Raw genomic sequence first — 23,891 nt, forward strand, 5'->3', positions numbered from 1 at the left:
CTTGGTCTGTCATAACACTTCATTCTCTTGGACACAGTGGTTGCTGCCGGATGGCCGTGTGATGACCTGAGCAGGTTGAGTCCTTCCTTGAGATTGAAAAACATATTGGATGAAGGACAGGTTCATCCCATTGGAGTTGCTAAGCCGAGTTAACGTAGAGAGTGCCTTGAAGGAAGCCCATCTGCCATAGGAAAGAATGAGGCCAACATACAGAGTAAAGCAGAGCTGGCGGAGACAGATAGACAGACTCACTCACACACACACTCACTCTCACATGCTTGAATGAGTGAGCATTGGGAGCCATTGGAGCCTTTGGATCTAGTTGCACTCTGTATTAGATCCACCCAATATTTCCCAGTTAAATGAACTCATCAGTTGCCCAATTTGCTTGTGCTGGTTTGCAAGTGTTCCTGTTGTTTGTAACTGAAAGAGTCCTTGCTAATCCAGACCCCTGTTGGCATCATCATCATCATCATCATTAGAATCTATGTAGTAAATTTTTTTCCAGGTCTCGGTACCAGGAAAAGCTGTGTTTCCTTTGACCAGCTGGTTTGCTTGTATTATGTAGTCATCATGACTTTTGAAACTGATAGTTATTTCTCTCTTTGGCTAAAGATTTAGTTAGCTGGGGGTACATGTCTCAGTTGGATGCTCTATAGCTGCTTTATTCAGGTGATTTAATGGCTGAGCTGAATGCTGGGAAACTCTTGCTTTGAGGACTTTTGGGGTCAAAATCATTGTGATGACATTGAAGGCTATAGAACTTTGGGACTCAATTGACTGTCCATTGGTGCAGATTCAGAATCATTTTCAGAGGAAAATTTTGGCTCGTTACTTTCTTGGCTCACTTCCGTGGAGAGGTGGGTTGGCAGCCTACTTAGACATCTTTAGTGGTTAGGTTCCTTAATTATCATAAGAGAATACTCACCTGATTGCATTTGATTATGAAATATATATAGTACCTATAATTGGCAGTATGGCATAGCTTCACTCTAGCAAGTATGTATCCACATACTCTGCTGCCTGATTTTTATTAAAAAAACCTAGAAACAGCATTTTTTGAGAATTGCTTAAATAAAACACTTTCAATCCATTGCTTTAGAAAGAATCAGTTTTTACTTGGACCAGGCCAGAATACCAGAGAGTATGTTGATTGCATTGTTTTAGACTGGGATAGAATTGCTTTTACAGAATTGTTCTTTGGTGTAATGCAATAAACATTTATTAAGAGCTATTAAAACAAACAGCTTTATGAAATTTAGCACTTCTCTTGTAGAATTCTTGTGAGGGTATTATCTCCTTTATCTCAGTGTCCTTGTTGATGTTGTTACTACTATTACAGTAGTACTGTTACTATTAGCGGCTCATCTGGAGGACGAAGACTGAACATAAAATGAGCTAATATATGATGGGCAAATACTGTCTTTAGCTGGAAGCAAATGCTTATATCCAAAGGGAGACAGCTTTATGGATGAGGGGCTGTGTTAGGAGTATGGGCTCTGGAGCCAGATTTCCTAAGCTTGAATTCTGGCTCTCTCTGCTACTGCCTAGTTGTTGTGTTACTTAACCTCTTGGTGCCTCAGCCTTTTCATCGTTAAATAGGGATGATAGTACCTGTCTCCACAAGGTGGTTGTGAGAATTTTGTGAGTTTACACATACAAAATGCTGAGGTCATGCCAGGTCCAGAACATATACAGTGAAGGTGAGCTGCTGGGTTTTTTTTTTTTTTTTTTTTAATGTTTAAAATAAATAGTACATACTTATGGGGTGCCTATGATATTTTGATACATGCATACAATGTATAATTATCAAATCAGGATATTTAGGATATCCATTACCTCAAACATTTATCATTTCTTTGTGTTGGAAACATTTCAGATCTATTGTTTTTTATCATCTTCATCATCATCATTAGAATCTATGGTAGTAATTTTTTCTCCACGTCTCGGTACCAGGAAAAGCTGTTTCCTTTGACCAGCTGGTTCACTTGTATTACGTGGTCATCATGACTTGTAACTGATTGTTATTTCTCTCTTAGGAAGGGAACTCAAAGTCAAATGTGTGTTCCTTCTCTTATAACTGTATAGGACCTTGTAGCATATGGTTTGTGTGGTAAACTTACCTCTGACTTTATCTTATTTTCCTTTTCATTTTCTCTATGCCCAATTTCTTCTTTCTTTTTAATTCTAATACACCCTGTGAACGGTCTCAAATCCTTTTTGAAGTAATATGGAAACAAACAAGTAATTTCATTATAGCATGTGCTCATATTGAAATTTCAGATTAATTTTCATTTAATTTACCTTAAGCTAGCTACTTCCTCATGACAAGGAGGAGCTATAATTTTTATTAAGATATCTCAAATCATATCATAGTTGGGTTACTTCTGGGAAGGTTCCATTTGACAGCTAATCCTATTGATGGTGTTAGCTTTCTTTTAAGCTTTAATTAAAAAGAAAATTGTGAAAATTTCATTTCATAGTTATGACTTTTATTCTCATTTTTTTCTTTGACTTTTGCTCCAGCCATCTCTCGTGGATTTGGGAAGGAAAAGGGGGGCTTATTTAAAAAACTTGTGAACCTATAGTCTTAAGAATAGTCTTCAGAATAAGACTTTTATATTAGGTTATAGCATAGGCAGAGTAAAGTCTATATATGTTGTTGTTGCCTTTCTTTTACAAACCAGAACATTCATTAATTTATTTGCAATGACAAAAAAAAAGGAATGTCCCAAAGTCTAGAATATTCCTGAATATTCTGGTTATGTCATTAGCATAATCACTTCCCCAAGCAGATGTACATGGGGCTGATACTGTCTTTTTTGGGGGGAGAATTCAAAAAAATTTTAATGAATGAAATGTCTCAAGTCTTTTTTAAAATTTGTAGATTCCCTCTTCCCCCCATCCCCTTTTTTTTCTTTGTAATTTATCTTTTGAAGAACCTGTGTGGTTGTCCTGTAGAATTTCCTACAGTCTGGATTGCAGTTTGGTTAAACATGTTGCTCTGCCCTCTCTATATCCTGTAAATTGACAGTTTGATGTAGAAGCTTGATTAAGATGTTATTTTTTTGGTGGGGGGAGGACAAGACAACTTTATAGATAGTATTGTGAGACACACAAAATCTCTGGTTATCTTTTGTGATGTTAGCAGTTGTTGGTATCACTATTGGCTTTTGCTTCTTAAAATCCTAAAGTGATCACCATGTTGTCTAGAAGAAAATGGGGAGGCATTGTCTGGAAATGATAGAGTCTGCTTTGTACAAATAGGACTCCTGGTGTGACCACTTGAGAATGAAGCAATATTGTGTGGAATCAAGAAGATCTAGGTATCAGTCTTGGCTCCTCTGTGTAGGAGCTGTTTGATCTTGCGTAATCAACAAAATCAGCAACAATGACAGCAGCAGCTACATTCACTTAGTGCTTGTTTTGTACCAGATTATGTGCTAAGTGCTTTATATACATTGTGTAATCTAATCTTTATAACAATCCTGTAAGCCAGACATTATCATATTTATTTTTGCAGTTCAGAAATATTAAAGTGTCCAAGGCCACATTGCTAAGAAATAGTGAAACAGGGAGTTCAAGCCCTTGCTTGACTCCAGTCTTGTGCTCATAATCACTTTGTTCTTCTATATCTGTAAAAGTGGGTATACAAATAGCTGCCTTATCTACTTTGGGGGTCAATTAGATGTTGTTTGTGAAAATGCCTTGAAAAATAAGATAGATATTAAAGTGAGAAGTACGCTGGGATGACCATTCATGAGGAAAGGTGGATGGTGGAGGCTTTGCCTATAACTAAGTGACAGTGAAAAGTTTGGATGGAAAGAACCCTGTGGTCATTTTCTGACTTTCATTTCTATTACTATTGCTGTTGAAATGTGGAAGTGTTTTCTTCTCTTGTTAAAATTGAGAGTGATAGAGATTTTACAGGTGGTAAATGTTGCATGTCAGAGGTTGCTTGAGAGTCCCTGGGTGAACAATGATGTCTTGGTTTTACTCCATTTGCCATATATGTAGGCTTAGTACAGATGGGTTTAACAGAGAGAAAGAGTATAGTCACAGTTCAGATTCTTTTTTCTAAAAGGACAAATATTTGTTAAAAGTAGGAGAAATTATAATTGAATGTATAATATTTTATCTCTTTAGCTGGGTAGTGGGTATATAATGTATATTAAAATTATTTTCAGTACCTCTTTATTTGTCTGAACTATTTTATAATGAATAAAACTATTAAAGTACTTACCACTAATATTTGCATGTGTGACAGACTAAGAAAGAAATAGGAGTGAGGTTGGTACCTTTAGGTCTGCCTGCCTGGGGCAGAGTGTAGGACTGTGCACTTTTTTTGAGACGGAGTTTCACTCTTGTCACCCAGGCTGGAGTGCAATGGCATGATCTTGGCTCACTGCAACCTACGCCACCCGGGTTCAAGTGATTCTCCTGCCTCAGCCTCCCCAGTAGCTGGGATTACAGGCATCTGCCACCACACCCAGTTAAGTTTTTGTAATTTTAGTAGAGATGGGGTTTCACCATGTTGGCCAGGCAGATCTCAAACTCCTGACTTTAAGTGATCCGCCTTGGCCTCCCAAAGTGCTGGGATTACAGGTGTGAGCCACCACGCCCGGCTGCACTTTTTTTCTTAAAGGAGACGGGGTCTTGCTCTGTTGCCCAGATGGGAGTGAAGTGGCATGATCATAGCTGACTGCAGCCTCAAACTCCTGGGCTCAAGTGACCCATCTTGGCCTCCCAAGTAACTGGGACTACAGGCATGCACTACCTGGCCTAGCTAATTTTTAAATTTTTTGTTAAGATGGGTTCTCCCTGTGTTGCCCAGGCTGGTTTTGAACTCCTGGCTTCAAGTGATCCTCCTGCCTCAGCCTCTTCGTAATCCCAGACTGTTGGGATTACAGGCGTGAGCCACTGTCTCTGGTAGTGCACTATATTTTCGGTAAACTTTGGTAATGCGTTTATCAGAAAGCCTTAGGGCTTGACCTGGACACATTTTCTTGGTACTTTGCTTCTTGCAGTTCTTTTTGTACTCTGGGGACTTTATTGCCATATTCTCTTTACTGTGGTGAAATATCTAGTATTTCATTCTGGTATTCCCAACAAAGTTTTCCCATTTTCTTGAGATATAAATCATATTCCATAAGTCACCCTGTTAAAGTGTACAATTTGGCAGCTTTTAGTATATTCACAAAGTTGTACAACCATCACCATTGTGTAATATCAAACTTTTGTTTCCTCAGAAAGAAATTCCGTGCCTGTTAGCAGTGTCTCCCCATTCCTCCCTTCCTCAGCCACAGGCACCCACTAATCTATTTGCTGTCTCTATGGATTTGCCTATTTTGTACATTTCATGTAAGTGAAATCATACAATATTTCACCTTTTGTCTGACTTCTTTCACTTAGTGTAATGTTTTTGAGGTTCATCCATGTTGTAGCATGTATCAGTACTTGATTCCTTTTTATGGCCAAATAATGTCCCACTGTAATCCATTTTGACTACTATGAATAATGCTTCTCTGAACTTTCATGTACAAGTTTTTGCATGGACATATGTTTTCATTTGTCTTGAGTATATGAATTGCGGGGTCATATGATAATTGTGTTTAACATTGTGAGAACGGCAAAACTGTTTTACAAAGTGGCTGCACCATTTTACATTCCCAGCAGCAGTGTATGAGGGTTCTGATTTCTCCACATTCTCCAGTGAAGTGGCATCTCACTATAATTGTTGATTTGCATTTCCCTAATGACTATGTTGAATAGTTTTGCATATGCTTTTTGGCCATTTGTACATTTTCCTTGAAGAAATGTCTCTTCAGATCTTTTGCTTATTTTAAAATTGTGTTGTCTTTTGTACTGAATTGTAAGAATTCTTTATATATTCTGGATGCAAGTCCTTTATCAGATATATGATTTGCAAATATATTCTCCCATCCTGTAGTTTGTCTTTTTACTTTCTTGGTGGTTATTCTTTGAGGGACAAACATTTCTAATTTTGATAAGTCCAATTTATTGATTTTGTTCCTTCTTATGCTTTTGGTGCCATATTGAAGAAACCATTGTCTAATCCAAGGTCACAAAAATTTATGTCTTTTTTTTCTAAGAGTTTTAGTGCTTACATTTAGGTCTGATATATTTTTAGTTAATTTTTCTATATGGTATGAGTTAGATCCCAATTTTTTTTTACAGTGGGGACAAAAGCTCATTATATTCCAAATACATACATCAGTAGCACTTTCAGTTTCCACCTTGCTTGATAATATTTTAATCACTATATGATTCTGCCACTTCATTTGTTTCACCCTCGACTCCCTGCTAAGTATTTGCTGTACCGAAACTGTACTAACTTTTGCACTTATCGTAGAATGTGAAAGTTAGGAGGATGTTTATTGATTATGCAGTTGAATCTCTTAGAGTAGAGCCCTCTGCATCTGTGACAGAAGAGCTTTCAACTGTTTGAACAGTTTTAGAGGTGGTTAGTTCACTGAAGTGTGTTGTACTATAATACAATAGTTATATTAAGAAGTCTTACCTATTCAAACATCATTTTATAAATAAAAAAAGTTTCAGAAGGAACAGGGGTTTAGGAGCTCAATAGGTTTAATAAGTTATTTTGCTTTTAGCAGTTTAAATTAAAGAGAGTTGGTGATTGGATCAAAACCCACAGTGTTTTATAATTAAATGAGAGCATTATATCCACCGGTGCAGTAGGAGAAATGCTTGTATTCCTAAAGCAATTCAGTTCAGTTTTTAAAAGCTCTAATGGCTAGAAAGTTTATTCTTTTTTTCAGTTGGAATGTTGCCCTTGGTAATGACTACCCATTTTATCAAGGTCCTCTTAAAACTCAGAGTCTAAAATTAAACTTCACTTATGTGCAGAGTGGTGCAGCGTGGTACAGAGTGTAATTGACTGATAGTTTTTTTGTTTTTCCTTTTCATATAACCCAGAATTAAGCTGTTAATGGAAGCCATGCTATCTTTGGGGCTCATCTTGAGTTTGTTATCAGTGAAACCCCTCTCTAACAAGAGTTTCTAAGTGCATCTCCTGTTCCTTTGAAACACTACAGTTGTGAAATGTGCTTTGCACCTATAGATCTGGACTCATCTCTGACTGCTTGGCTGCGTAACCTTAGCCAAAACACCGTTTCTTTGATCTCAACTCGCTTTTCTGTTGAATGGAGTTAATTCCTCCATTTTTGCAGTATTGGATGATTAAATGAAATGATTTGTGTGTGTGGGTGCATATGGCTCTACCACACACAGATGAAAGTAAGGCTTGCGAAAACAGCCTTCTGTCACAAGTACTTCTTTGCTGGCCTTACTTAGTCAGATATTAGCTATTTGTTAGCATCCGTCCAGTTCAGATGTCTTGATATCCTGAATTGATAGGAAATATTTCAAACATGCAGAAAAGAATAGTGGAAAAATCATTCCGTGCACCTTCTGCCCAACTTAGATCTTAACATTTTGCCTTATTTCAGATTTTTTAAAAAAGAAGTAAAACATTGTGGAGTTCAGCCTTCTCTGTACCCTCTTTCTTTTACCCCTTCCACATTCCCCAGAGGAAACATTGTTCTGAATATATTTGTTATCTATATATAATGTAATTGTTTTGCATGTTTTAAACCTCAGATACATACTATACTGCAATATGCTCTTGCAGTACCCTTTTTTTTTCTCATCCTTTTTTTCCTGCAATTTCTATTTCATGGCTACATCACAATTTACTTACTCACGCTCCTCTGGGTGGTTATTAGGTAATTTCCATGTTTTATTATTAGACAATGCTGTAGTCAACATTCCTGAACATACTGGTTGTGAACATATGTGCATTTCTATAGAGAGCTTGTAAGGAAAATGTGTGTGTGTGTGTGCGTGCACACGTGTACATATGTGCTTGCGTATAGGATTGGAATCTGGTTGAAAAGTATATGCATCTTCAACTTTGGAGAATAATTTGACATTATTTAATAAAATATACCAATTTAAACATTACTGTCAGAGTGTGAGAGTTTTACATTCCTCAAACATTTCTAGTGTTTCATTTCTTAGCATTATCTAAAATGGGATTCATAAGGTTCTAGATGGTTAGCAGCTGTTAGGGTCAGCAATTTCTCCGGCCAACTGTAGGAGGACTTGGTATGTGTAGAAAACATTTATTCTAGCAAATGAACAGGCTTCTGATACTGTGTGGCTCAGGATCTATGACTAACTTATTCTGGTATAAAGCCACCCAGAATTCATTTGACCAGTTTACTTAAAAACTAGCAAATTTTTAGGCCAGGTGCGGTGGCTCATGCCTGTAATCTCAGCACTTTGGGAGGCCGAGGCAGGCGGATCACGAGGTCAGGAGATCGAGACCATCCTGGCTAACACTGTGAAACCCTGTCTCTACTAAAAATACAAAAAATTAGCCGGGTGTGGTGGCACACACCTGTAGTCCCAGCTACTCGGGAGGCTGAGGTGGGAGAATCTTGAACCCGGGAGGTGGAGGTTGCAGTGAGCTGAGATCACGCCACTGCACTCCAGCCTGGGCAACAGAGTGAGACTCTGTCTCAAAAAAAAAAAAAAAAAAAAAGGAAAAAAACAAAAAGAAAAAAAGAAAAATAGCAAAATTTTTTTATCTCTGAGTCACATAAGCATTGGTAATAGTCTTCATTACCTATATATTACTCGATTAAGCTCTATGTGAGCAAGTAAAGTGAGTATCTGGCAATTGTGACTTAAAATAAATATTATTAAGAGATTAATAAAATAAGCATAGGATAATCTGTAATAAAATGTGAATATAGGACCAGGTGTGGTAGCTCACAACCGTAATCTTAGCACTTTGGGAGACTGAGGCAGGCGGACCACTTGAGCCCAGGGGTTTGAGACCAGCCTGGGCAACATGGGGAAACTCCATATCTACAAAAATACGAAAACTAGCCGATTGTGTTGGTGTGCCTCTGAGGTGGGAGGATCGCTTAAGCTTGGGAGGTCGAGACTGCAGTGAGTGGTGATTGTGCCACTGTGCTCCAGCCTGGGTGACAGGGCAGAGTGTCTCAAAAAAAACAAGAAAAAAAAGTAAACGTATAAATAGATAAATTTATATGGCTTAAGATTTTGATGTTAAAGACATCTAGGATAATTTAATGCAAAGTAAATATTAAGTGTAGTATAATGAATGTTAGGTGAATATGCAGAATTAATAAAGTTACATTAGTTATCCATAGCTTAAAGACAGAGATGGTACGGATTCATTGGATTAAGAAGCAAGTGTGTGAGCCAGAAGAGTGCTTATCAATCTGTGACCTTTGCTTGGACTCCAGGCATTGGAATAAGTTACCAAAGTTGTTTAATCTAATTTAGCATTGAGAAAGAACTTATCTAAAAAAGATTATTTTTGTTTTCAAAAATTTTTTGTTAAAAACATGTTTTGTATGGCGTTCCTAAATTACTAAAGGTGCATTTAGGAACAACTTATTTTGGGGTCATTTATTTTGGCACCCTTTTATTTATTTTCATTTTTATTATTTTTTTGAGACAGGGTCTGGGTCTGTTACCCAGGCTGGAGTGCAGTGGCGCGATCATGGCTCACTGCAACCTCCGCCTACCAGGCTCAAGCAGTCCTCCCATCTCAGCCTCCCAAGTAGCTGGGACTACAGGTTCACACTACCATGCCCAGCTAATATTTTAAAACTTTTTTTTAGAGATGGGTTCTCACTATGTTGCCCAGGCTGGTCTCAAAACTCTTGGGCTCAAGCAGTCCTCCTGCCACGGCCTCCTAGAGTTCTGGGTATTACAGATGTGAGTCACTGTGCCCGGCCTTTGGCAACCTTTTAATAATTTATCTCTACTTTTGGCATTTTGAGTGATTAAGAGTGATTCATGTTATATTACTTGGAGGAAGGCTGTCTTGTTTTCTTGCTTGCTTATTTGCATTATTGAATTATTGGTCCAAAGTTATGAAAAGAATATTGGAACATTATGGAAACTAGGGGGAAATGTTAAAAAGTAGGAGGGAGAAAAAACCTGTAGAGCAAGTAAAGTAAGCAATGACTACCTATACGTAATACTATCCCTAAACAAAAGCTATTAATTTGGTGGGCTTCTGAAAGTTAGTCTAGATTTATAACTTTATTCAGTTTTTTTCCTAAAGCTAGTCTATAATTTATAGAACCAGGAGTTAAAAACAAAACAAACAAAAAACAGAAGCCCTCAGTGAAGCTCCTTCAAGAAAGAAGTTATTCTTTTAGTTCTACTTCTGCTCTTTGTTAGTGCCTCAGAAGCTCTTACTAAGGAAGAGCCTTAGCTCAGTCAGCAGGCAGTCACTCTGGTGGCTTGACTCCTGTATGCTAGCTGCTTGGTAGGCTGAATAGACTGAGCCTTGCTCTGCATGTTATAAAGGCACAAGTGACATGGACCCTGACCTATGAAATAATTTTTTTCTCTTTATGAATATAAATAGGTTTTGCCTTTTTTTTTTTTTTTTTTTTTTTTGAGACGGAGCCTCGCTCTGTCGCCCAGGCTGGAGTGCAGTGGCACGATCTCGGCCCACTGCAAGCTCCGCCTCCCAGGTTCACACCATTCTCCTGCCTCAGCCTCCCGAGTAGCTGGGACTACAGGCGCCCGCTACCACGCCTGGCTAATTTTTTGTATTTTTAGTAGAGACGGGGTTTCACCATGTTAGCCAGGATGGTCTCGATCTCCTGATCTCATGATCTGCTAGCCTCGGCCTCCCAAAGTGCTGGGATTACAGGCATGAGCCACCGTGCCCGGCCCGCCTTTTTTTTTTAATTGAGGGGAGGAGCAAAGATAAAAGTTCATTACATTGTGTCATTACGCAGTGACATTATGTCACTGCTGTTAACTGATCCAAGCTAATGGCCACACTAATGAAATGTCAATGAATATATTAATACAGATTAAGAATTTTTTTAACTTGGTTTAATCCCCCTTCAATTCTCAGTCTGATACCTGACCCTTTTCTCTCCTCTCCCATGTATTAGTATCATCTTTCTCACTTTCTCTCTTATACCTCTGTTACTCCCATTGCTGTGAAGTTGCCTCTCTGGCCTTCATTCCAATGTACTTTCCTATTTCTATCCAGCTTTCTTTTTTTTTTTTTTTCATTTTAAAAATATATCTTTATATACCAGTGTTTTTTCCTGTGCTCCCCCTTCAACCACATATATATGTGCATGTGTGTGTGCGCGCGTGTGTATATATATACGTATATATACAAGTATATATACGTATATATACACATATACGTATATATATACACACGCGCGCACACACACACACACACACACACACCCCATTTTGTTTAGACTACCCAGTATTTTACTGTATCTTGAATTTGAATGCTTTAAGGCTAGTGCATAATCTCTTCCGTTAGGTCTAGGCCCCATGTTTTCCTATTGGTTTAAAGTTGCCCCATTTACACACTTATTTTTTATTTATTTATTGATTTTGATTACTTTGGTTCTTGTAGAGAATTGAGTTTGTATTTTTTATACTATATTTTCTGCTGTGAGTGTCTTCCTTTTTTTCCTTCAGTTTCTCTCTCCTTCCGTTCTGTGTGGAATCTCTTCTGCTTGTCACTGCTGTTCTGTTTGCACACCACCACCCTTTTCCAAGACCCAGTGTGTACCGACTTTCTCCTCTGAGCAAGTGCATTTCATTTGTACCTGGAGTACACATTGCATTTTCTCACAGCCAGGCCCTTCTTGGATTTCCCTTATCTGGAGCTGAGGTTTCTCTCTCAGGGTTTATGTCTGCGAGAACCGTTTCACACTGACAGGGTGTTGTTGCCACTGTGAGATTTCCTTTCACAGAAACTAGAAGGCTAATTTACCTAGCAAGCGTGTCTTTAACATACAGGTATTTATTTATCTGGCTCAAACAATTAGAACTAGAATATTGGAAACAAGGTTGTTCTTAGGAAGATTTTACTCAAAGCCACCAGAGCACACATGTGAAGTGCTTATCATTGAACGTAGTTGTTGCTAGCTTTTTCATTTTAAAATTGTTTTATCTTTGTATTAGGGCACAGGATGGTAGAGATAGTATGGTTGGGTGTTTCTAGTGAAAATTATGGTAATTTGCTAGGATTTACAACTAGGAAGGGAATTATTTAGAATTTTAGTTAGTGAAATGATAATATAGTAATAGCATCAGAATTTTGGAATGTGCCTCATGATTTCACTATGCTCTTTTAATTTTTACATAGTTCCTTCTGGTAGTTGTCTACAAGTGTATGTATTTTGTGTAGATATTCTTACTATGTGTTTTTGTTCTTGTATTCTGTTTCTCATTTAACATAACTAGTAATAACAACCATTTATTGAGTGAACATATATTTTAAAAGTCCTAACAAAATTTTAGCAAGTCAAATCCAATAATATATAAAAAGTATAATACATTATGATTGGGGTTACCTTGGGAATGCAAGATTGGTTTAACGTTAAAAAATTAATGAACGTATTTTACCATGTTAACAGACTAAAAAGGAAAAAAATATGAACATCTCAATAAATGCAGAAAAAGCATTTGATAAAAATTCAGCAAATTAGAAATAGAGATAAGAATTCTCAGCAAATTAGAAAAAAGAGGGCTTCCTTAACCTGATAAATGGAGCATATTTATGAAAAACCTACGGTTTAACATTATACTTAATGACGAAAGACTAAATGCATTCCCTCCATAAACACAGACAAGGGAAGTATATCTCTTCTTACCACTTTTCTTCCACATTATACTGGAGGTTCTAATCTGTATGATGAAGTAAAAAAAAAAGAAATAAAAGGCATCCAGATTGGCAAGGAAGAAGTAACTTTTTATTTGCAGATGACATTGATTATCTACGGATAGATTCTACAAAAAAGCTACTAGAAGTAATATGTGAGTTGAACAAGGTAGGATAGAAGATCAATATGTAGACATGAATTGTATTTTTGTATATTGGCAATGAACATTTGGAACTTGAAATAAAAATTAATGCCATGTATAAAAACATCGAGCACTATGAAGTACTTAGAGATAAATCTAAAAAAAGATGTTTAAGACTTGTACACTGAAAATTATAAAGTGTTCCCGAGAGAAATTAAGATAACCTAAGCAAATGGAGAGAGATACTGTGTTTATGCAGCAGAAGACTAAATACTAAGATGTTACCTTCCCCCAAGTGTTCTGTGTGTACTATGCAATCCCAGTCAAAATCCTAGCAGGAATTTTTTGGTACTAGTTGACAAGCTGATTCTAAAATTCATATAGAAATACAGAGGACCTAGAACAGCCAAAACAACTTTGAAAAAGAAGAAAAAAGTTGTAAGACTTACACTACTTATCTTCAAGTCTTATTATAAAACTATAGTAATCACAATAGGGTGGTATGGGTTTCAAGACAGACAAGTAGATTGATGGAACAGAATAGAAAGTCTGGAATAGATTCATTCACATATGTGATAAACAAAATGTATATGTATACAATGAAATATTATAATTCAATCATAAAAAGGAATGAAATACTGATACGTGCTACAACATGGATGAACCTTTAAAACATTAGGCTAATTGAAAAAAGCCAGTCACAAAAGATCACTATAGAGTGGTCTCTATAGAAATAGAAGATAGGTTAGTTGGTTGCTTAGGGCTAGGCTGGAAGGACTGGGGGACAGGGTTTCTTTTGGGATGATGAATATGTTCTAAAATTGACTATGGTGATGGTTACATGTATCTTTGAATATACCAAAAATCATTGAGTTGTACAAGTTTTTGTATGGTATATGACTTATCTCACTGTAACTATTAAAAAGAAAACACGGTTGGGCATGGTAGCTCACATCTGTAATCCCAGCACTTTGGGATGCTGAGGCTGGAGGATCGTTTGAGGCCAAGAGTTTGAGAACAGCCTGGGCAGCAAAGGCCCTGTCTCTACAAAAAAAAAAAAAAAAAAATTAGCTGGGTTAGGTGGTGCATGCCTAATTACTAGTAGGCATAGTCTCGGGAGGCTGAGATGGGAGGATTGTTTGTGCCCAGAAGTTGGAGGCTGCAGTGAGCTATGATGCCCCCAAAACAGAAAATTTAGTAGCAGTATTTTTTGAAAAGTATGAAAGAACAAGCCATGTGTTGAGAAAAAAATATTTGTAATTCATTTATAAAGGATTTAATTCCAGAATATATAGAGTTATCAAAGCTCAATATTAAGGAAACATAAAACCTAATTCAAAAGTGAGGAAAGTACCTGTACAGAGAGTTTACTAACAGATACACAGATGATGGATGAACACATCAAAAGATAATAAACATAATTAATCATTACAGAAGTGTGGATAAAATCCATAATGAGAGATCACTAACACCTTTTAAAATGGCTAACATTAAAAGGACTGACTGTACTAAGTGTTGGCAACTGGAACGCTCACATTATGGTGGGAATGTAAAACCATACACTACTTTGGAAAATAGCTTGACAATTTTTTTTTAAAGTTAAACATATACTTAACATGTGACCCAGCCATTCTACTCTTAAGCAATTTACTTAAGATAAATGAAAGCATATGTCCATATACATTTTGAACATGAGTTTTTATTATAGCAATGTTATTTTTAATACTCCCAAATTAGAAACAATCCAAACGTCCTTAATAGGTAAATGGATAGATGTGGTATATCCATTAAATGGAATAGTACTCATCAATAAAAATGAAATAACCATATGCCCAACAACTTGAATGAATATCAAAATAATTATTTTGAGTTAAAGCTGCCAACCAAAAAAGAGTGCATTCTGTATGATTCCATTTGTTAAAATCCAGGAACATGCATCTTAATCAATAGTGAAAGAGTGCAGTTCAGTGCTTGTCTGCAGATTGTGTTGAGCACAGGGAAGTGTGGGAATGAGGGATCATAAGATGCACAAGGAAACTTATGAGAGTGATGGATATTGCATTATCTGGATTGTGGTGATGGTTTTATTGGTGTATACATGTGTCAAAATTTATAAAACTAAATTTTAAACACATGCAGCTGATTATGTGTTCATTATGCCTCAAAGCTGTTATAAGTATAACAAAATAAAATGAAAAAGTCTTGTGAATGGGAAAAGGTCAAAGTCTGTGTAGTGTCCTACAAAGCTCTATATGATCTGGCCCTTGTTGTCTTTCTGACCTTCTCTCCTATTGTTCTTTTTCCTTGCTCATTCTTTGCTGTTCCTTGACTATTCCAGGCCGCTTCCTGCCTTAGGAGAATTTGCTTTAGCTTTTTTTTTTTGACCTCCCTGCTTTTGATGTTCTTTTCCCCAGATACTTGCTTCATAACGCTCTCAACTCCTTCAGGTCTTTGCTCACATCTTACCTTGAGTATCAAGGAAGTCTACCTGTTTATTTTTTCTCTCTCTCCAGCTTTATTAGAGTATAATTGATGAATAAAAATGTTACATGCTTATGGTATACAACATGGTATTTTGATATATATATGTGTTGTGAAATGATTAAATTAAGCTGATCAGCATATCGGTCACCTCACATATGTTTTTGTGGTGAGAATTGTCTTAGCAATTTTACAGTGCATTATTATTAGCTATAGTTACCATGCTGTAAAATAGAGCTCCAGAATTTATTCATGTTGTCAAAGTGAAACTTTATAACCTTTGACTAACATCTCCCCATTCCCACCCCTTCCTGTCTTCAGCCTCTGATAACCATCATTCTATTCTCTGCTTCTATGAGTTCAACTTTTTAAGATTCTAAGTATTTAGTGAGATCATGTAATATTTGTCCTCTGTGTCTGGTTTATTTCACTTGGCATAAAGTCCTCCAAGTTCATCCATGTTGTCACAATTTACAGGATTTTCTTCTTTTTAAAGGCCAAATACTATTTCATACACATACCACAGTTTCTTTATCTATTAGTCCATCTTTGGATACTTAGGTTGTTTTTATATTTTGGCTGTTATGAATAATGCTGTAGTCAACATGAGAGTTGGAGATCTCCTTAATATACTGACTTCATTTCCTCTGATGTATACCCAGAAGTAGGATTGCTGGATCATTTGATAACTCTGATTTTAATTTTTTGAGGAACCTCCCTACTATTTTTCATAATGGCTGTACCAATTTACATTCTCACCAACAATGTATAAGGTTTCCCTTTGCTCCACATCCTTGCCAAAACTTGTTATCTTTTTTCTTTTTGGTAATTGCCATTCTGTCAGCTGTGGGACATCCTGTCTAGTATCCTCATCCCCTTCACTCCAATCCCCTTCCTTCCCTATTCTCCCCGCCCCCCATACATAGTACCTTCTAACATAACATATAATTATATATTTTATTGTTTGCCTCTCCCCAATGGAATGTAAGTTCTATGAGGGCAGAATAGAATAGTACCTGGCTTATAGTAGCCTCTCATTACATCTTTGTTGAATGGATGAACTCACAGCTTTTGTAGCATGGACTGACTCATTTTCTCTTAATCACTCACCATAGTATATACCTTCTGTAACATTCATTATTGAGTTTTCATAATGACTTAGTTTTTATAGTGATGATCCAGTAACACTACACCACTTCATCTAGTTGTGGTCTAATTTATTAAACAATTTCTTATCATTTAGTTTATTCCTAAAGAATAGAGTCATTCATTCAGCAAGCATTTAGAAGTCTACAGTGTTCAAGCTTTGTGTGCCAGCCTCATAAAAATGAAGAAAATATGGACCTTGCCCTCAAGGAACTCTCCAACTATAGTAGAGGTAGATATATCAACAATTATTATAATGGTATCTGATAAGGGTACATGTTAGAAGGCATTTTAAAGGTACAAAGAGCGTACACCAGAGTGTACACCAGACGGAGTGCCCAACTGTGAGAGCTGGAGGTTAGGTCCTGATTTAGCAATGGTATAGAAATGGGAGGAGGAAGAACAACTGAGTAAGAGAATGCAGTAATCAAAATGTATGTCAAGGGATGATTTGGGACAGATATTAAAATAGATTGGAAGGGGGCTAAAGATTTTCAACGATGGAAAAGATGAAGTAAAAATTTAATTATTAGCTATAATGTTTTCTAGTAATTCATAATCTAATACAACATTATTATTAGAGGAAGATTCTTGCTTTTAAGGATTTGAAAGAGGTAATACATTTAGATTGCATTTGTCTTAAAGTTTGTAGTACTCATACTCTTAGGAGAAGGGAGGATTGAGTATTGAGAATTATCTTAAACTATAATCAGTGGAAATTATAAGCCAATAATTGTAGAAGTGAGCACTTTTTGAGTGCTTATCTTATATCAGGCATTATTCTAAATATTTTACTTGTTAATTGAAAATAATACGATGTAATTTCACCCTCTTTTATATGTATGGTCAAGTCAATTATCTGTAGGTAGATTATTTGCATTTGGGGTTATCCATGCATTTCAGAAAACATCTTCATGGACTGTGTCCTTCGGTCCTCCCTTGATGTCTTTCTCTCAGTTGTTTTTACTGCCCCGATCAGCTTTTTAAAACAAATAATCATACCTATTTTTAAAAACTGCTAAATAGATTGTTATTATTAGAGTCTCCCTTCTCCCCATACATCATGGGTACCATTGTTAGAAACTGGGCTTTTGGCCGGGAGCAGTGGCTCACGCCTGTAATCCCAGCACTTTGGGAGGCCGAGGCGAGTGGATCACGAGGTCAGGAGATCGAGACCATCCTGGCTAACACGGTGAAACCCCGTCTCTACTAAAAATACAAAAAAATTGCCAGGTGTGGTGGTGGGTGCCTGTAGTTCCAGCTACTCGGGAGGCTGAGGCAGGAGAATGGCGTGAACCCGGGAGATGGAGCTTACAGTGAGCTGAGATTGCGCCACTGTACTCCAGCCTGGGAGACAGAGTGAGACTCCGTCTCAAAAAAAAAAAAAAAAAAAAAAAAAGAAACTGGGCTTTTTGGCCAGCCACGGTGGCTCACGCTTGTAATCCCAGCACTTTCGGAGGCCGAGGTGGGCGGATCATGAGGTCAAGAGATCGAGACCATCCTGGCCAACATGGTCAAACCCCATCTCTACTGAAAATACAAAAATCAGCTGGGCGTGGTGGCGCGTGCCTGTAGTCCCAGCTGCTTGGGAGGCTGAGGCAGGAGAATCGCTTGAACCCAGGAGGTGGAGGGTACAGTGAGCCGAGATCGTGCCACGGCACTCCAGCCTGGCAACAGAGTGGGACTCTGTCTCAAAAAAAAAAAAAAAAAAAAAAAAAAAAAGAAACTGGGCTTTTTAAAGGATTTGAAGACCCAAAATTAGAGGAAGGAGAAAAGTTGTGAAGAAATCCACTTATGGGAGCTGATTTTAGGCAGAGCTTGAACTTTATGACAAATGATAAACTTTGCACAAAAATATCTTCATCCCCATTGTCTGATGATTTTTAAATTTTAGTTTATATTGCCAGAAATTCTGTTTATCAAGCATTAATTTGAGTAGGCAAATACATGTTTTTCAGATACTTCCGGTTAGGCTAAGAGGTTATAATCATTTTTATAAATTGTTCAAATCAGATTGCCTTTCAACTTCTTTTTATTTTACTTACTTTTTTACTTACTTACTTTTTATTTTACTTTGTTTTTTAGACAGGGTCGCACTCTGTCGCCCAGGCTGGTGGAATGCAGTGACAAATCATGGCTCACTGAAGCCTCAACCTCCTGGACTCAACCCTCCCACCTCAGCCTCCTGAGTAGCTGGGACTACAGATGTGTACCACCATGCCTGGCTGCCTTTTAAATTATTTTGTAGAGATGGTGTCCCACTCTGTTGCCCACACTGGTCTTGAACTCCCGGGCTTAAGTGATCCTCATGCCTCGGCCTCCCAAAATGCTAAGATTATGTGAGCCACTGTGCCTGGCCTCCCCTACTTCTTGTATGTATATATATATTTTTTGAGATGGAGTTTCACTATTGTTGCCCAGGCTGGAGTGCAATGGTGCGATCTCAGCTCACTGCAACCTCCACCTCCCGGGTTCAAGTAATTCTCCTGCCTCAGCCTCCTGAGTAGCTGGGATTACACGTACCCACCACAATGCCCAGCTAATTTTTTGGTAATTTTGATAGAGACGGGGTTTCACCATGTTGGCCACGCTGGTCTTGAACTCCCAACCTCAGGTGATCCACCTGCCTTGGCCTCCCAAAGTGCTGGGATTACAGGTGTGAGCCACTGCACCCAGCCTACTTCATATTTTTTGAACTGACAGAGTGGAAACTGTAATTAGAAGGGAGAAATGTAATTTTGGATATCAGAGAACTATGGTAAATTGGGCAGCCAGTGTAGGGCTAGTGCAGGGTACTATGGTGTGGGGAGCCTTAGAGAATCTGAGGGTAGTGAAATTAGGGGAGAGGAGCTTGTGCACAAAAGTGCAATATTGCAAAACACAAATTGTTTCATTAAATTACTAGGGATGGTACTTTAGGCAGTGGCCATTTTAGGGGAAGTAAAGGCATTTTTTCTTCAATTCTGTCATCTAATGACCTCTCACTTACTTGCTCTGAACTCATTCATTCTTCAGTGGAGTCTCATTTTCCAAATTTGGGGGACTAGTGGTGGAGTTAAAGATTAGGTTGAATTTGGAAAAGATAAAAGTGAGTCAAGTTTATGGAAAGATGCATATAAAATGATAATAAATGACTAGCATACAGATAAAATCAAGGATACAGAGAACAAGGGTGGCATATTAAGGATAAGGATTAGGAAAGCAGAATCGGAGATTTGTAAGGAAACTGGTTATTTATTTGATCTCACTTCTACTTGATTATCTTTAGTAATGTGGAAATAGCTACTTCAGGTTGTAGTCTTTATTATGTTAGAAAGTTCTTTTTTTTTTTTTTTGAGACAGTCTTGCTCTGTCACCCAGGCTGGAGGGCAGTGGCGCGATTTTGGCTCACTGCGGCCTCTGCCTCCTGGGTTCATGCAATTCTCCTGCCTCGGCCTTCTGGGTAGCTGGGATTATAGGCATGCGTCACCATGCCTGGCTAATTTTTTTGTATTTTTAGTAGAGATGGGGTTTTGCCACGTTGGCCAGCTAGTCTCAAACTCCTGGCCTCAAGTGATCTGCCCGCCACAGCCTCCCAAAGTGCTGGGATTACAGGCATGAGCCCCCGAGCCCGACCTTATGTTAGAAATTTCTAATAATCATCCTTAGGTCTGCTTCCTTATGTTCTCTTCTTATTGCTCCTAGTTCTGCTCTCTGAAATTGCACAGGACAAGTCTGTGTCCATTTTGGTGTATCAGGCTTAAGATACTTGATGACTGCTTTGATGTCTGTATTTGAAGATCAAATACAGACATCTGTTCTGTCTTCCTATATGCTTCTCTTTTCCAGGCTAAATTTTCCTGGCCTAATTGTTTCTTGGATATCATTGTTTTCAGACTCTTTTGGAAATCCTTATGGATATTCTCTAATTTGTAACTCCTTTAAATTATGATTTCAAAACCTCATGTAATGGGTAAGATGTGGTTCTAGTGGTTCAGATTAGAATGGGTCTGTTTAATCAGTGTGATTACAGTGATCCAAGTTTGCAGTTAGTTTTTTTTTTAATGGCTCTATTCCACATTTTGTTTTCATTAACTACTTTGATCATGTAAACCTATAGGTTAATAAATTTCTCCCCCTTACTGTTCCTCTTTCCTCTCTACCACTTTTTTTCATAATTGGTTTTCATTCTAGAATGGAAAAGAAAATGGTGTAGTAACATGAGCCATGGATTTAGGGGCAGAAATATTTGGGTTCCTCCGTTTATTAGTAAAGTGTCTTTGGACTATTGTCTCGACCTTTTTTAAAAAAAATAGGCTATCATTTTTACTAAGATTGTGGTGAGATTTCCATGAAATAATCTAGGGGAAAGACTTCATACTGTTCTTCATTCTTGTGCTTTACTTATCCTCAATTTTGAAAAATGTTTTTAAAAATAAATTTTATTGGCTGGGTGCAGGCTCATTGCATTGCAGCCTTTGTGACAAGAGCGAGACCCTTTCTCAAAAAAAAAAAATTAATAAATTCTGTTGTATATATTTAAGGTGTACAACATGATGTTATGAGATACATGTAATGTTGGCCCTCTATATCTGTGGGTTTTGCATCCATGGATTTAACCAACCACAGATCAAAAATATTTGGGAAAAAATTTAGTAATACAACAAGATATAATACAGATTAAAAAAATACAGTGTAACAACTATTTACATAGTGTTTACATTTATTAGGTATAAGTAGTCTTGAGGTTATTTCAAGTATATAGGACAATATGCATAGGTTATATGCAAACCATTTTACATAAGGAAGTTGAGCATTCTCATAATTTGGTATCCTGGGGTGGGGTCTGGGAACTAATCCCCCACAGATATGAGGAATGACTATATAGTAAAATAGTTACTATAGTAAGACAAATCAACATATCCATCATCTCACTGTTAACCACTGTTTCCCCATGGTAAGAGCAGCTATCATCTATCTACTCTTTGAGCAAAAATCCTGAGTAAAATATACTATTATTATAGTCCTGATGTTGTACATTAGATCTTTAGACTTTTATATCCTACATATCTGCTACTTTGTATCTTTTGACCAACATCATCCAGTTTCCTACACCAACCCTTGCCTCTGATGACTGTTTTATTCTCTCTCTCTGTACATTTGACTTTTAAAACATTCCATATGTGAGGTCATATAATCTTCTTATTTTTGTGTCTGGCTTATTTTACTTAGCATAATGTCTTCCAGGTTCATCCGTGTTGTGGCAAATGGCAGGATCTCCTTTTTTAAGGCTTACATAATATTCCACTGTGTATATATATGTACACCACAGTTTTTTATTCATTTGTTCATGATTAATGGACGACTAGTTTGTTTCTGTATCTTACCTATTGTGAATAATGCTGCAATGAACATGAGAGTGCAGATATCTTTACAAGGTGGTAATTTAATCTCCTTTGTGTATATAACCAGAAGCAGAATTGCCTGAGTCATGTGGTAATTCCATTTTTAATTTCTTTAGGAACCTCCATAACATTTTCCATAATGGCTGCACTAATCCACATTTCCTACCAACAATGTACAAAGGTTCCCTTTTCTCCATACCGTTGCCAACACTTGTTATCTCTTTCCTTTTTAATAACAGCTATCCTAATTGGTTTAAGGTGATATCTCATAGTGTTTTGATTTGCATTTCCCTTGTGATTAGTGATATAAAACACCTTTTCATATACCTGTTGCCCATTTTTATGTCGTCTTTGGAGAAATGTCTTTTGAGGTCCTTTGCCCATTTTTTAATTGAGTTATATGTTTTCTTGCTATTGAGTTGTATGAGTTCTTTATAAATTTTGGATATTAATGCCTTATCAGATAGCATGGTTTGCAAATATTTCTTCCCAATCCATAAGTTGCCTTTTCATTGTGTTGGCTGTTTTCTTTGCTGTGCAGGAGCTTTTTAGTTTGATATATTTGTTTTTGTTTTTATAGCCTGAGCTTTTGGTGTGTTGTGTTAAGAAATCATTGCCAAGGCCACTGTCAAGAAACTTTCCCTTGTGTTTTCTTCTAGGAGCTTTATTGTTTCAGGTCTTACATTTGAATTAATTTCTGTGGCGTCAAATAAGGGTCCAATTTCATTCTTTTTTTTTTTTTTTTTTCTGAGACAAGGTCTTGCTTTGTTGCCCAGGCTGGAATGCAGTGGTTTGATCTTGGCTCACTGCAGCCACAATCTTTTGGGCTCAAGTGATCCTCTCACCATAGCCTCCCAAGTAGCTGGGACCACAGGTGCGTTCCACCACACCCGGTTAATTTTTGTATTTTTTTGTAGAGATGGGGTTTCACCATGTTGCCCAGGCTGGTCTCAAACTCCTGAGCTCAACCGACCCACCCATATTAGCCTCCCAAAGTGCTGGGATTACAGGCATGAGCCACCACCCCTGGCTAATTTCATTCTTTTGAGTGTGGAAATCCTAAAAAAAGTTTAAAAATATTTAATAGATGCAAAAGAATGTATAAAACTATTAACATATAAAGAATACAGCAAGTACTAATGTACTTATCACCTTAATTTATGTTTATTTTTAACCCAGTGTTAGACCCTTTGGCTGACTTACCATTTTAAATTTTCATTTATTGTCTGGCTTACTCAGCTTTGTGTTATCAACAGATATGATGAAGAGTTTTGTTTGTTTGTTTTTTTGAGACAGTCTCTCACATTCTTGCCCAGGCTGGAGTGCAGTGGCGCCATATTGGCTCACTGCAAGCTCCACCTCCCAGGTTCACGCCATTCTCCTGCCTCAGCCTCCCAGGTAGCTGGGACTACAGGCGCCCGCCACCACGCCTGGCTAATTTTTTGTATATTTAGTAGAGACGGGGTTTCACCATGTTAGCCAGGATGGTCTTAATTTCCTGACCTCGTGATCTGTTTGCCTCGGCCTCCCAAAGTGTTGGGATTACAGGCATGAGCCACCGTGCCGGCCTGATGAAGAGTTTTTGAATTGTTAGAACAAATCATTGAAAAAAATATTTAACAGGGTAACCTGGGACTGAGCACTGAGGCAGACCACAGTTCTTTTCTGTTCATTGGTTGATACTGCGTCATTAATCAACATTTTCTAGGGCAGAGTTATTTATTTCTCTAGAGGCAGGACCTCTCACTGTTGCCCAGACTAGAGAGTAGCGACACAATCCTAGCTCACTTCAGCCTTGAATTCTTGGGCATAAGTGATCCTCCCGCCCTGGCCTCCTGAGTAGCTAGGACTACAGGTGTGTGTCACCATACTTGGCTAATTATTTATTGATCGATTGATTTTGTTGATATAAGGTATTGCTGTGTTGCCCAGGCTGGTCTTGAACTGCTGACCTCAAGCATTTCTGCCATCTTGGCCTCTTAAAGTGATGGGCTA

General features: G+C 37.6%; 1 protein-coding gene across 14 annotated transcripts in view; it reads left to right on the forward strand.

Moving 5' to 3' along the window:
• NCOA1 (nuclear receptor coactivator 1) overlaps window positions 1–23,891 on the forward strand; it is a 279,449-nt gene that overhangs the window by 14,466 nt on the left and 241,092 nt on the right. Inside the window, exons 3-4 of one of the 14 annotated variants that reach the window (XM_047446154.1) lie at window positions 5,250–5,361; window positions 16,610–16,744. The exons of 12 other annotated variants lie outside the window; for them this stretch is intronic. The gene's annotated coding sequence lies outside the window, so the exon portion shown is untranslated. Of the gene's footprint in view, window positions 1–1,737; window positions 5,362–16,609; window positions 16,745–23,891 lie in introns of those variants that run through there. One more of the 14 variants, XM_047446152.1, reaches the window with a different exon arrangement.

The sequence above is a fragment of the Homo sapiens genome, chromosome 2 (genome assembly GCF_000001405.40).
Source record: "Homo sapiens chromosome 2, GRCh38.p14 Primary Assembly".
Lineage (NCBI taxonomy): Eukaryota > Metazoa > Chordata > Mammalia > Primates > Hominidae > Homo > Homo sapiens.